Genomic DNA, 15,380 nt, shown 5'->3' on the forward strand with positions numbered 1-15,380 from the left:
CAGGAGTTCAAGACCAGCCTGGCCAACATAGTAAAACCCCGTCTCTACTAAAAATACAAATATTAGCTGGGCGTGGTGGTGGGCACCTGAAGTCCCAAGTACTCGGGACGCTGAGACAGGAGAATCACTTGAACCCAGGAGGTTCATCCCAGGAGGTTACAGAGCTCAGATCGTGCCACTGCACTCCAGCCTGGGCAACAGAGCGAGACTCTGTCTCAAAAAAGCTGGGTGCGGTGGCTCACACCTGTAATCCGAGCACTTTGGCAGGCTGAGGCCGGCAGATCACGAGATCAGGAGTTCAAGACCAGCCTGGCCAACATGGTGAAACCATGTCTCTACTAAAAATGCAAAAATTAGTGGGGCGTGGTGGTGGGTGCCTGTAATCCCAACTACTCAGGAGGCTGAGGCAGGAGAATCGCTTGAACCCAGGAGGCGGAGGTTGCAGTGAGCCATGATCATGCCATTGCACTCCAGCCTGGGTGACAGAGCAAGACTCCATCTCAAAAAAAAAAAAAAAAAAGCAAAGATGGGGAAAATTGGGGACGTCGCCTATCCCGACCCCTGTGCCTGACACGCAGCCCGTCACAGGGCGTGGGAAGCACGGGGCAGTTGCGGGGACCGCCGTGTTCTCAGCCACCCACCCAGGGCCCCCAGCATCTCTCCAGCGTCTCCTCCATTTGAGTTCAAACATGGGCCCTTTCTACAATCAGCTTTGTTTGTGTGGTGTTTGGAATTGCCATCCTGGAGGCCCTGGGTACTGTTGTGATTCCTAGGCTGGTTTCCTGGGGCTCCGTGTGGTGGGGGCCTCTGGCCAAGCTGCTGTAACAAAGACCACAAACCTGGTAGCTTGCAACGGCACACAGTCACCATCTCACAGTCTGCAGGGCAAGGTCTCGCTCTGTCACCCAGACTTGGGTGCAGTGGTACAGTCGTGGCTCACTGCAGCCTCCACCCCCTGGGCTGAAGTGATCCTCCCACCTCAGCCTCCCAGAGTGCCAGGACCACAGGTGTGAGCCACCACCATGGCTGGCCCAAATCACCCCTTATTTATTTATTTATTTATTTAGGAGACGGAGTCTTGCTCTGCCACCCAAGCTAGAGTGCAGTGGTGCAATCTGGGCTCACTGCTACCTCCGCTCCCCAGGTTCAAGCAATTCTACTGCCTCAGCCTCCCGAGTAGCTGGGATTATAGGTGCCCACCACCACGCCTAACTTTAGTATTTTTAGTAGAAATGTGGTTTCACATGTTGGCCAGGCTGGTCTCAAACTCCTGACCTCAGGTGATCCGCCCACCTTGGCCTCCCAAAGTGCTGGCATTACAGGTATGAGCCACCACGCCCGGCCAAATTTCCCATCTTTATAAAGAAACCAGGCATATTGGATCAGGATCCACTGTACTCCCGAATGACCTCGTGTTAACTGATTACATCTGCAGAGACCCTATTTCCAGGTAAGGTCCTGGGGTTACAACTGCAGTCTGTGGATGATTTGTGGGGGACGTGGTTCCACCCTAGTGCCTGCCACCTGCCATCTCTCTGGGGGTTTGATGCCCTTGGGGTGCCTGGCACCTCACTCTCAGCTGCTGCCAAAGCCCTTCTTGAGCTCGTCAAGGTCACCCTGGATTCTAATCCCAACCCCCAGGCACTTCTTGGCACCAGGAACATTTTCTGCAGGTGGCCTGCGAAGGAGCTGGGAGCTGTGCTCAAATGCTTCCTCCTAACAAGCCTTCCGTCCTGGGGACTGGCACTGTGTTGAGACGGGAGAGACTCCAGGTCCGCAGAGGGCACCGTCCTGCCTGGAGGTTCAGGACTGCCACCATTCATCTCCGTGAGGAGCTGGAGCAGGCGTCCTGCCTTTCTGTGTCCTCTACCCTGGTTTTGAATAGAAGGCATCCTGGCTGGGCAGGGTTCTTCAGGGAGCAGGTGATCCGGCATTCAGCCAGATTCTTGAAAACCCCCTGGGCCGGGCACGGTGGCTCCCGCCTGTCATCCCAATACTTTGGGAGGCTGAGGCGGGGAGATCACCTGAGGTCAGGAGTTCGAGACCAGCCTGGCCACTGTGGTGAAACCCCGTCTCTGGTAAAAATACAAAAATTAGCCGGGCATGGTGGTGCGTGCCTGTAATCTAAGATACTCTGGAGGCTGAGGCAGGAGAATCGCTTGAACTGGGAGGCAGAGGTTGCAGTGAGCCAAGATCGTGCCACTACACTCCAGCCTGGGCGACAGAGCGAAACTCTGTCTCAAAAACAAAAACAAGGAAAACACTCCAGCCCCCACACCAGCACGGGGACTGCAGCGCCCGCGAGACTTGGGTCACGGTGACTCCTGGAGGCTTTGCACGTTAAGCCGCCGCCTGCCCAGGGACACTGTGGTCACCTTCCCCCGCCGGAGCCCTGCGTACCTCTCCTGTCTGTGCTTTGAGAGAGGAGTTTTTTTCCCGTTGCTTCTGGAACCCTGGGTTGTCCTGCAGAATAGGACACCCTCCTTCATTACGATAGAGGATGCAGAGCCGCTCCCTGGCAGGTGTTCCCAGTCCCAGCAGGGGTTTCCAGAGACACAGGGTGCGGAGGGATTCTCCACCAGGAGATGGTTCCAGATGCGTAAGCCCGTCCCCTCTGCAAGGCCCTGTCCCCAAAGAGCTTGGGCCTGTGGGTCCCACAGCTCCTGCGAGTGACCACCACCGTCCAGGGCCCCCCAAGCTGTTCACTCACGGGTCTGGGTGGAGGCAGACATCCTGGGAGGAACCCCAGGGGTGTGGCCGAGGCTGCACAGAGGCCTCTCCACGCCTCCTGGAGGGATGGGAGTTAGTCTCGGCTGGAGTGGAGGGTGGGGAACCCAGAGTCAGGAGCACCCAGAGTCCAGGTGGGAAACGCCTGAGGCAGGGGCCCTGCTTCCACCCCTGCTGCAGGGGACACTCAGGGTCCTCCACCTGGGAGTGGCCACGCTGGTGGCCCTTTGCGGCCCTGCACATTACAGCCCTGCCAGCTTTGGGGAGAGCTGACATCTCAAGGAAGTCCTTTTTAAAAAATTTTATTTAGCCGGGCGCGGGGGTGCACGCCTGTAATCCCGGCACTTTGGGAGGCCGAGGTGGGCGGATCACAAGGTCAGGAGTTCCAGACCATCCTGGTTAACACGGTGAAACCCCGTCTCTACTAAAAATATAAAAAATTAGCTGGGCGTGGTGGCGGGCACCTGTAGTCCCAGCTACTCAGGAGGCTGAGGCAGAATAGCATGAACCCGGAAGGTGGAGCTTGCAGTGAGCCGAGATCGTGCCACTGCACTCCAGCCTGGGCTACAGAGCAAGACTCCATCTCAAAAAAAAAAAAAAAAAAAAAAAAAAATTATTTAATGGCTCACGCCTGTAATCCCAGCTCTTTGGGAGGCTGAGGCAGGTGGATCACGTGGTCAGGAGATCAAGACCATCCTGGCCAACATGGTGAAACCCCATCTCTACTACAAATACAAAATTAGCTGGGCGCGGTGGTGTGTCCCTGTAGTCCCAGCTACTCGGGAGGCTGAGACATGAGAATCGCTTGAACTTGGGAGGCAGAGGTTGCAATGAGCCAAGATCACACCACTGCACTCCAGCCTGGGTGACAGAGCAAGACTCCAACACACACACACAAAAAATTTATTTAAAATGTTTTATTAGGCTTTCCCTATGTTGCCCCGGTTGGTCTTGAACTCCCGGGCTCAAGCAATCCTCTTGCCTCAGCCTCCCAAAGCCTTGGGATTACAGGTGTGAGTCACTATGCCTGGCTTTTGAAACATGTTTTAAGGTATTTTAAAACTTTTAATTCTGAAATAATTGTAGAATCACAGAAAGGTGTAAAGAAACATAGAGGGGCTGGGCGCGGTGGCTCACGCCTGTAATCCCAGCACTTTGGGAGGCTGAGGCGGGTGGATCACGAGGTCAGGAGTTCGAGACCATCCTGGCTAACACGGTGAAACCCCTTCTCTACTAAAAATGCAAAAATTAGCCAGGCATGGTGGTGGGAGCCAGTAATCCCCCCTACTTGGGAGGTTGAGGCAGGAGAATTGCTTCAACCCAGGAAGCAGAGGCTGCAGTGAGCCAAGATCGCGCCATTACACTCCAGCCTGTGCAACAGAGCGAGATCCTCTCTGAAAAAAATAAAATATGCCGGGCGCAGTGGCTCACGACTGTAATCCCAGCACTTTTGAGAGGCCAAGGCACGTGGATTGCCTGAGGTCAGGAGTTCAAGACCATCCCGGCCAACATGGTGAAACCCAGTCTCTACTAAAAATACAAAAAAAATTATCCTGCGTGGTGATGTGGGCACCTGTAATCCTGGCTACTCATGAGGCTGAGGCAGGAGAATCACTTGAACCCAGGAGGCGGAGGCTGCAGTGAGCCAAGATCGCACCATTGCATTCCATCCTGGGCAACAAGAGGGAAACTCCCATCTCAATAATAATAATAATAAAATAAGATAAAAATGCAAAAATCAGCCGGATGTGCTAGTGGGTGCCTGTAATCTCAGCTGCTTGGGAGGCTGAGGCGGGACAATTGCTTGAACCCAGGAGGCAGAGGTTGCAGTGAGCTGAGATTGCACCATTGCACTCCAGCCAGGGTGACAGAGCAAGACTCCATCTAAAAAAAAAAAAAAAAGGAGCTCTCAAGCCAGGAAAAGACATGGAGAAACTGTAAATGCATGTGACCACGTGAAACAAGTCCGTCTGAAAAGCCTCCGTGCTGCAGGATTCCAGCTTTAGGACGTTCTGGAAAAAGGCTAAACTACAGAAACAGTAAAAAGATCAGAGGCTGCCAGGGGCCGGCAGAGGGAGGGATGAACAGGCAGAGCACAGGATTTCTAGGGCAGTGAAGCTATTCGATCTGAGAGTGCAAGAACATGATACCTTTATCAAATCCATAGAACAAGGCCAGGCATGGTGGCTCACGCCTGTAATCCCAGCACTTTGGGAGGCCAAGGTGGGTGGATCACCTGAAGTCAGGAGTTCAAGACCAGCCTGAACAACATGGTGAAATCCCATCTCTACTGAAAATACAAAAAAAAAATTAGCCGGGTATAGTGGTGGTCACCTGTAGTCCCAGCTACCTGGGGGGCTGAGGGAGGAGAATCACTTGAACCCAAGAGGTAGAGGCTGCAGTGACCGACATCGCACCACTGCACTCCAGCCTGGCCGACAGAGCAGGACCCTGCTTCAAGAAAAAAAAAAAAAAAAAAAGCCAGGTGTCGTGGCTCACGCCTGTAATCCCAGCACTTTGGGAAGCCGAGGCGGGCAGTTCACCTGAGGTCGGGAGTTCGAGACCGGCCTGACCATCATGCTGAAACTCGTCTCTACTAAAAATACAAAATTAGCTGGAAGTGCTGTCAGGCACCTGTAATCCCAGCTACTCGGGAGGCGGAGGCAGGAGAATTGCTTGAACTCAGGAGGTGGAGGTTGCATTGAGCCAAGATTGCACCACTGCACTCCAGCCTGGGTGCCAGAGTGAGACCCCATCTCCAAAAGAAAAGAAAAAAATAATTATTTTTTTTCTGGGTGTGGAGGTGTGCACCTGTGGTCCCAGCTACTCGGGAGGCTGAGGTGGGAGGATCGCTTGAGCCCAGAAGGTCAAGGCTGCAGTGAGCTGTGATCATGCCACCACACTCCAGCCTGAGCCACAGACAGAGTGAGACCCTGTCTCAAAATAAATAAATAAAATAAAAATAAATAAAGTTCCCTCAAATCCACTTTGCAATGGACGCATTTAGAGTGTCATGTTTGCACAAATGTGGTCACCTGCCACAGTGGGCGAGATGAAGACCACAGCCAATATAATTACGGTACAGACAATTGTGAAAGCAAAAAGAGGGGGAAGGAAGCCCAGGTTTGATTTCTAGCTGGGGTCCAACCCTGAAGTGGGTGAGGTAAAGCCAGATCCTGTGCACACACTGCTATGGGCGCTGCTGGGCCTTCTTCCTGGAGTTTTTGTCGGCCTGGAGTGGGAGCCAAGGCTCTTGGGGACTTAAAAAGGCAAGATCCAGCTGGGCATGATGGCTCACGCCTATAATCCCATCACTTTGTGAAGCTGAGGCAGGGGGATCACCTGAGGTCAGGAGATCGAGACCAGCCTGGCCAACATGGTGAAATCCCATCTCTACTAAAAATATAAATGTTAGCCATGCATGGTGGCGGGTGCTGATAATCCCAGGTACTCGGGAGGCTGAGGCAGGAGAATCGCTTGAACCTGGGAGTCGGAGGTTGCGGTGAGCGGAGATCACATCACTGCACTCCAGCCTGGGCGACAGAGTGAGACTCCGTCTCAAAAAAAAAAAAAAAAAAAAAAAACCCTGCAAGATCTGCATTTGAGGTCAGAGTGTCTGGGGGTAGAAACTGAAACAGAGTTGGGGGTGACCCTGAGACAGGGTCTGGGTTCTCTGTGGCAGGTGCAGCAGTCACCCAGTCTCAGGGGGGAGATGGGAGGATGGGGAGGTTGTCTGCGAATTGCAGGCTGTGTCTGCGTGCGAGAGTTTCAGACAAAGAAGGAAGTTATTGGCTGAGAACAATGTAAGATTATATGATGTAGGACCTTGAAGAAAACAAATAAAAGACAGTTGTAGATTACCCACGTCTGGGAGAAGAACAAGGAAAGAGAAAGAAGAGAGAAAACAAATCCTCAAATGGCAGCGCTTTTTTTTTTTTTGAAATGGAGATGACACCTTACAGCCTGCCCTGAAATGCCTAACAGCTAAAATGAAAGGCTTTTTTTTTTTTTTTGAGACGGATTCTCACTCTGTTGCCCAGGCTGGAGTGCAATGGTGCGATCTCAGCTCACTGTGACCTCCGCCTCCCAGGTTCAAGCGATTCTCCTGCCTCAGCCTCCCAAGTAGCTGGGATTACAGGCATGTGCCACCATGCCTGGCTAATTTTTTGTGTTTTTAGTAGAGACGGAGTTTCTCCATGTTGGTCAGGCTGGTCTCAAACTCCCAACCTTAGGTGATTCTCCCGCCTTGGCCTCCCAAAGTGCTGGGATTACAGGCGTGAGCCAGTGTGCCCGGCCTATGACTTTGGTTTTTGTTGTTTGTTGTTTGTTTGTTTGAGACAGAGTCTCCTTCTTGTTGCCCAGGCTAGAGTGCAATGGCACCGTCTTGGCTCACTGCAACCTCCGCCTCCTGGGTTCAAACAATTCTCCTGTCTCAGCCTCCCGAGTAGCTGGGACTACAGGCACATGTCACCATGCCTGGCTAATTTTTGTATTTTTGGTAGAGACAGGGTTTCATCACGTTGGCCAGGCTGGTCTCGAATCCCTGATCTCAGGTGATCTGCCTGTCTCAGCCTCACAAAGGGCTGGGATTACAGGCATGAGCAATGATGCCTGGCCCTCACTGCTAAATTAAAAAAATTTTTTGGAGAGACAGGGCCTGGCTATGTTGCCCAGGCTGGTCTCAAACTCCTGGGCTCAAGCGATCCTCCCGCCTCAGCCTCCCAAGTAGTTTGGGATTACAGGTGTGTGCCACCATGCCCAGCTAATTTTTTTTTTTTTTTTTTTTTTGAGAGAGTCTCACGCTGTCACCCAGGTTGCAGCCCAGTATCGTGATCTCGGCTCACTGAAACCTCCACCTCCCTGGTTCAAGTGATTTTCCTGCCTCAGCCTCCCGAGTAGCTGGGACTACAGGCATGCACCACCGCACCCAGCTAATTTTTGTATTTTAGTAGAGACGGGGTTTCACCATGTTAGTCAGACGGGTCTCGAACTCCTGACCTCAGATGATCTGCCTGCCTCAGCCTCCCAAACTGCTGGGATTACAGGCGTGAGCCCCTGGGCCCAGCTGACCAGCTAATTTTTTTTTTTTGAGACAGAGTCTCGCTCTGTCGCCTAGGCTGGAGTGCAGTGGCACAATCTCGGCTCACTGCAAGCTCCGCCTCCTGGGTTCACGCTTTCTCCTTCCTCAGCCTCCCCAGTAGCTGGGACTACAGGTGCGCAGCACCACGCCCTGCTAATTCTTTGTGTTTTTAGTAGAGACGGGGTTTCACCGTGTTAGCCAGGATGGTCTGGATCTCCTGACCTTGTGATCCGCCCACCTCGGCCTCCCAAAGTGCTGAGATTACAGGCTTGAGCCACAGTGCCCGGCCTCGCTAATGTTTTAATGTTTTCTAGAGACGGGTCTCTGGTCATGTGGCCCAAGCTGGTGTCAAACTCCTGGCCTCAAAAGCTCCTCCCACCTCTGCCCCCGAGAGCACTGGGATTACAGGCATGAGCTACTGTGCACAGCTCTAATCTCTTCTTTTATAACGACACCAGTCACAATGGATTAGAGCCCAGACATATGACATTTTACCTTAATCTCCTCTTTTTTTTTTTTTTTTGTTTTTGTTTTTTGAGATGGAGTTTCGCTCTTTTTGCCCAGGCTGGAGTGCAATGGTGTGATCTCGGCTCACTGCAACCTCTGCCTCCCGGGTTCAAGCGATTCTCCTGCCTCAGCTTCCCGAGTGGTTGGGATTATAGGCATGCACCACCACGCCCAGCTAATTTTTTGTATCTTTAGTAGAGACGGGATTTCACCACGTTGGCCGGGCTGGTCTTGAACTCCTGACCTTGTGATCCACCCTCCTCGGTCTCCCAAAGTGCTGGGATTACAGGCGTGAGCCACCGAGCCTGGCCTAAAGAAAGTGGTTTAATCGACTTACAGTTCCACGTGGCTGGGGAGGCCTCACAATCATGGCAGAAGGTGAAAGACCCATCTCACATGGCAGCAGGCAAGAGAAGGGAGCTTGTGCAGGGAAACTTGGAGGCTGAGGCAGGTGGGTCACTTGAGGCCAGGAGTTTGAGACCAGCCTGTCCAACATGGTGAAACCCTGGCTGTACTAAAAATACAAAAAATTAGCCAGGTGTGGTGGCGGATGCCTGTAATCCCAGCTACTTGGGAGGCTGAGGCAGGAGAATCACTTGAACCCAGGTGGCAGAGGTTGCAGCGAGCCGAGATTGCACCACCACACTGTAGTCTGGGGGACAGAGCGAGACTCTGTCTCAAAAATAAAATATAACCATCAGCTCTTGTGAGAGTTATTCACTATCAAGAGAACAGCACGGGAAAGACCTGTTCCCATGATTCACTCGCCTCCCACAAGGTCCCTCCCACAACACGGAATCGTGGGAGCTACAAGATGAGGTTTGGGCCGGGCGCGGTGGCTCATGCCTGTAATCCCAGCACTTTGGGAGGCCAAGGCCGGCAGATCACGAGGTCAGAAGATCAAGACCATCCTGGCTAACGTGGTGAAACCCTGTCTCTACTAAACATACAAAAAAAAAAAAAAAAAATTAGCCGGGCGTGGTGGCGGGCGCCTGTAGTCCCAGCTACTCAGGAGGCTGAGGCAGGAGAATGGTGTGAACCCGGGAGGCGGAGCTTGCAGTGAGCTGAGATCCCGCCACTGCACTCCAGCCTGGGCGAAGGAGCGAGACTCGGTCTCAAAAAAAAAAAAAAAAAAAAGGTGAGGTTTGGATGGGGACACAGAGCCAGACTCTATCAAAGGTCTTAAAATTCTTTTCACTTGGGTTTGTTTGTTTCACAATAACAGAAGTAATACAAGCCCCAGGTAAGCAGTCAAACAAAGCTAAGAAACAGGATGGAAAAGACACTGATCCTGTCCTTATTCCAGGACGGCCCCAGGCTCCTCAACGCCTCCCACCCGTGTTGGTAGAGACAGGGTTTCACCATGTTGGCCAGGCTGGTCTCAAACTCCTGGCCTCAAGTGATCCACCTGCCTCAGCCTCTGAAAGTGCTGGGATTAGAGGTGTGAGCCACCATGCTTGGCCCCAAAATCGCCTTAATATTCATCCCTTATGGGGACACAGACACATACTGCACATCTGCTGGGTGCCAGCCAGGGTCCAGCAAGTCCTGCCTGTCTCTGCCTCAATTTTCTTTTTTCTTTTTTTTTTTTTTTGAGATGGAGGTTTGCTCTTGTTGCCCAGGCTGGAGTGCAATGGCATGATCTCGGCTCACTGCAACCTCCACCTCCCAAGTTCAAGCGATGATTCTCCCGCCTCAGCCTCCTGAGTAGCTGGGATTACAGGCACCCACCACCACGCCCAGCTGATTTTTGTATTTTTAGTAGAGACAGGGTTTCACCATGTTGGCCAGGCTGGTCTCGAACTCCTGACCTCAGGCGATCCACCCGCCTTGGCCTCCCAAAGTGCTGGGATTACAGGTGTGAGCCACCGCGCCCAGCCTCTGCCTCAATTTTCTTTGAGTCAGTGTCTCGCTCTGGCACCCAGGCTGGTGTGCAGTGGCGCAATCATAGCTCACTGCAGCCTCGAACTCCTGTATTCAAATGATCCTTATGCCTCAGCCTCCTGAGTAGCTGGGACCACAGGTGCGTGCACCACCACACCTGGCTAATTTTGTTATTTTTTTGTAGAGATGGGGGTCTCACTATGTTGCCCAGGCTGGTCTTGAACTCCTGAGCTCAAGGGATCTGCCTGCTTCAGCCTCATGAGTAGCTGGACATGCATTTCCATCTTGCTCTGTGTTAGCTGGGGGAGGCCAGCTCCTGAAAGCCCTTGCCCTTCCCAAAATGCTGGGGGACGTCCTGACCCCCCCATTTGTCCTTCCTGTGTCTCTCTGGCTATCTGTCTGTGTCTTCACCTCTCTGGGTCCCCACCTTCCACAGCCCCTCTCCGGTGACCCCCAAACTGCAGCTGTATTCTCCTGCAGAGGAGTTCGGCGGTCTCTTTGTGGGTCGTTTTTATCTCATGCCCTCAGGCCTCCCTCACGTGCCCCTGGCCCTAATTAAGGTATTTTCCTAAACAAGCCCAGTTGCGTCTCTTAAAATGAATTCTGGTGCCAGCTGGTAAAATTAATTTTTTTCTCATCCTCTACAATGCAAGAATGAATGACACACGGTCGCTTGTCCACAGGAGGCCGGCGTCCTGCGGAAGGACAAGCGTGTAGACCAGTAATTACGTTCCAGTGTGGAAAGTGTCCCACATGAGTGCGGCGGAGCGAGGTAGCCCTGAAATAAGGGGCATCCCCACGGTGCAGCTACTAGACATGGCTAAGGTTGATTTCACACTCACCCTCGCTGGACCGTGTTGGATAGTGTCAGCCAAAATATATGTCTCCCTAGAACCTCAGAATGTGACCTTCCTTGGAAGTAGAGTCTCCACAGACATAATTAGTTAAGATGAGATTGTGGCAGGGCTCAGTGGCTCACTTCTGTAATCCCAGCACTTTGGGAGGTTGAGGCGGGCGGATCACCTGAGGTCAGGAGTTTGAGACCAGCCTGGCCAACATGGCGAAACCTCGTCTCTACTAAAAATACAAAAAAATTAGCCGGGCGTGGTGCCGCGTGCCTGTAGTGCCAGCTACTCAGGAGGCTGAGGCAGGAGAATCTCTTGAACCTGGGAGGCGAAGGTTGCAGTGAGCCGAGATCTCACTACTTCACTCCAGCCTGGGCGAGTGAAGTAGTGAAGAGGCTGTCTCAAAAAAAAAAAAAAAAAAAAGATAAGGTTGTATTGGAGAAGGGTGTGCTCTAATCTAATGAGATGTCCTTATAAGAGGAAGAGGCATGGACCACACACTTTGGGAGGTCGAAGGTGGAGGATCGCTTGAGGTCAGAAGCTCGAGACCAGCCTGGGCAACAGAGCAAGACTGTGTCTCTACAGAAAATTTCTTTTTCTTTTCTTTTTTTTTTTTTTTGAGACAGAGTCTCAGTCTGTTGCCCAGGCTGGAGTGCAGTGGCGTGATCTTGGCTCACCGCAACCTCTGCCTCCCAGGTTCACGCCATTCTCCTGCCTCAGCCTCCCCAGTAGCTGGGACTACCAGCGCCTGCCACCATGCCTGGCTAATTTTTTTGTATTTTTAGTAGAAACGGGGGTTTCACCATGTTAGTCAGGCTGGTCTCAAACTCCTGACCTCAGGTGATCCACCGCCTCAGCCTCCCAAAGTGCTGGGATTACAGATGTGAGCCACTGTGCCCAGCCACTTTTCTTTTTTCTTTTTTTTTTTTTTGAGTTGAGGTCTCATTCTGCTGCCCAGGCTGGAGTGTAGTGGCACCATCTCGGCTCGCTGCAATCTCTGCCTCCTGGATTCAAACAATTCTCCTGCCTCAGCCTCCCAAGCAGCTAGGATTACAGGCACCTGCCACCACGCCTGGCTAATTTTTGTATTTTTAGTAGAGACGAGGTTTCACCATGTTGGCCAGGCTGGTCTTGAACTCCTGACCTCGTGATCCGCCCACCTTGGCCTCCCAAAGTGCTGGAATTACAGGCGTGAGCCACCGCACCCGGCTGGCCTTTTTTTTTTTTTTTTTTTTGTAGCAACAGGGTCTCCCTGTATAGCCCATGCCTGAGTGCAGTGGAGCGATATCGGCTCACTGCAGCCTCGACCTTCTGGGCTCAAGTCATCCTGGTCTCCCCAAGACAATCCTGACTTCCGTGGAGCCCCTGGGTCTCCAGAAACACCAGTGACAGCCCTCTCTCTTGTGTTCTGAATTTCCTATGTAAAAACCTGGCTTGTGTGAAGGGGGCTGGTAATTGGACATCTGTAAAGCTCCTTGGCAGTGGGGCCCCGTCAAAGCTGGCAGTCGTAGCTCCGTGTTAACAAGGTCAAGGTCTGGTCAAGGTTTCCAGTGTGGTCCCCTTATGGCCTAATTAGGGACTTGAATGGGTTGGAACACTGATTGAGTTTCAGTTCAGAGGCTATTTTGATGTTACAGTTCAATCACTTTAGAAAATATAGATTCAGTTCTGGTTCAGGCTGGAACACTAGGTGTGTGTCTGTGTGTTTTAATCTTTGATTTAGTTCATGGTTCAGTATCAAACTTAATACATTTTTCACCCATCATCAGATTAACAAAGATGAGAGAAATAATCACGCCCGGCCCTCGTGCAGGGTGTTAGATGGGCCGTGGTAATGCGGGGCTGCCGCCAATGTGAATTGGTACCTTTCTGAAAAGCAACTTGACGTCATCTGTCAAACGCCTTGAGGATGTCCAGACCCTCAGACCCAGCAATTTCCGCCTCCAGGGATTTATCATAAGGATATAATCAGAGGTGCACCAAGATTTACATAGGAGAGTTGCTTTCTGCGGCCTTATTTAAATCATGGAAAAATCAGGAATCGCTGAAATGTCTCACAATAGCGGTCTGGTTAATAAAAATACGATAGCGACCGTTGTCTTACAACGCCTTGAGTAGCAGAGGGAATTGTGTATGATACATTTCCCGCAGAAGGGGAAACGTTTTAATTAAAGCCATAACTGACGTGGAGCCGGAAGAAGCCTGTGAAAGGACGTTCTTGCATCGACCTGCCAGGCCTTTGTGCTGCCTTAGAAGCAGCCGCTTTATTGCAACTGTGAATCTCTATGGTTTAGGAGAGAAATTCATTCTTTAAACAAAATTTGAGTGAGCGCTCGGTGACACGGACTGGGCTTACAATGGTGAAGAAAACAGGACTCAGGGAACTCACAGACGAATGGAGAAGACATTTAATAAAATAAGACCTAACATTTCACCACTGGCACAAGTACTTTAAAAGCATTAATTTATTTAATACCAGAGCCAGAGGCCAGGCACGGTGGCTCACGCCTGTCATCCTAGCGTTTTTGGGAGGTCGAGGTGGGTGGATTATGAGGTCAGGAGTTCGAGACCAGCCTGGCCAACATGGTGAAACCGTCTCTACTAAAAATACAAAAAGTAGGCGGGTGTGGTGGCGTGTGCCTGTAATCCCAGCTACTGGGGAGGCTGAGGCAGGAGAATGGCTTGAACCTGGGAGGTATAGGTTGCAGCGAGCCGAGATTGCACCAGTGCACTCCAGCCTGGGCAACAAGAGCAAGACTCTGTCTCTAAAACAAATTAAAAAAATATACCTCATTTGAGCTCATAGGAGCTTTGAACTCCTGGGCTCAAGGAATCCTCCCATCTTGGCCTCCCAAAGTGTTGGGATTACAGGCGTGAGCTGTTGCCACGCTGTGTTTTGTTTTGTTTTGTTTTTGAGACAGGGTCTTGCTTTGTCATGTGGAGTGCAGTGGTGCAATCACGGTTCACTGCAGCCTCGACCTCCCAGACTCACGCAATCCTCCTGCCTCAGCCTCCTGGGTAGCTGGGACTACAGGTGTGCATCACCATGCCTGGCTAATTCTTTTTTGTTTTTGTACAGGCAGGGTCTCACTATGTTGCCCAGGCCTGTCTCCAACTCCTGGGCTCATGTGATCCTCCCATCTCAGCCTCCCAAAGCACCTCCCAAAGCACAGGCGGGAGCCACCGCACTGGGCCCCACTCCTCCTGAGGCAGAGGCTTGGATCTGGCACAGCACCCCTTCTGCTGTATTCCCTGGGCTGAAGCAGGTCACACGCCAGCCCAGGATTTTTTCTTTTTTCTTTTTGAGACAGAGTCAGTCTTGCTCTGTCACCCACATTGGAGTACACTGACGCGATCTCAGCTCACTGCAACCTCCGCCTCCTGGGTTCAAGAGATTTTCTTGCCTCAGCCTCCCAAATAGCTGGGATTACAGGTGCACACTACCACGCTCAGCCAATTTTTGTATTTTTAGTAGCGATGGGGGTTTCTCTATATTGGCCAGGCTGGTCTCGAACTCCTGACCTCAGGCGATATGTCTGCCTTGACCTCCCAAAGTGCTGGGATTACAGGCCTGAGCCACCGCCAGCTCAGATTTAACGTGAGAGGATATCAGAGACATAGTTCTTGCCAACCACCCACAGACCACCACCCCCATTTTATAGACAAACTGAGACGGCTGAGCAAGGTGGATCCTACCTGTGATCCCAGCACTTTGGGGAGCCGAGGTGGGAGGATCACTTGAGCCCAAAAGGTCGAAACCAGCCTGGCCAGCATAGCAAGACCCTCTCTCTACAAAAAATAAAAATCTTAGCCAGCCATGGTGGTGCGCACTGTGGTCCCAGCTACTCCGGAGGCTAAGGTGGAAGGATCATTTGAGCCTGGGAGGTTGAGGCTGCAGTGAGCTATGACTGGGCCGCTGCACTCCAGCCTGGGCCACAGAGCCAAACTTCGACTCAAAAATGTAAATAAAAATAAAAAACAAGTGAAAGGTGAACATTCTCAACTTGATAAAGGAAAAAAAATCAGTCGCTGAGGTTGCTGGGATCGACCGAAGACACAAACCTTCTATTCCCGCAAATGTGAGAAGGAAAAAGAAGTTAGAGCCGGCTTTGCTGTCGCCCCTTCCCCTTGAAGAGTCGGGGCCAGTGCGTGACGAATGCTGCTGTAAGTCTTTTAATTTTTTCCTTTTTTGAGACGAAGTCCCACTCTGTTGCCCAGGCTGGAGTGCAGTGGCGCGATCTCCCCTTACTGCAAGTTCCGCCTCCCGGGTTCAAGCGATTCTCCTGCCTCAGCCTCCTGAATAGTTGGGATTACAGGCATCGCCACCACGCCCGGCT

This window comes from Homo sapiens, chromosome 19 (assembly GCF_000001405.40).
Source record: "Homo sapiens chromosome 19, GRCh38.p14 Primary Assembly".
Classification (NCBI taxonomy): Eukaryota; Metazoa; Chordata; class Mammalia; order Primates; family Hominidae; genus Homo; species Homo sapiens.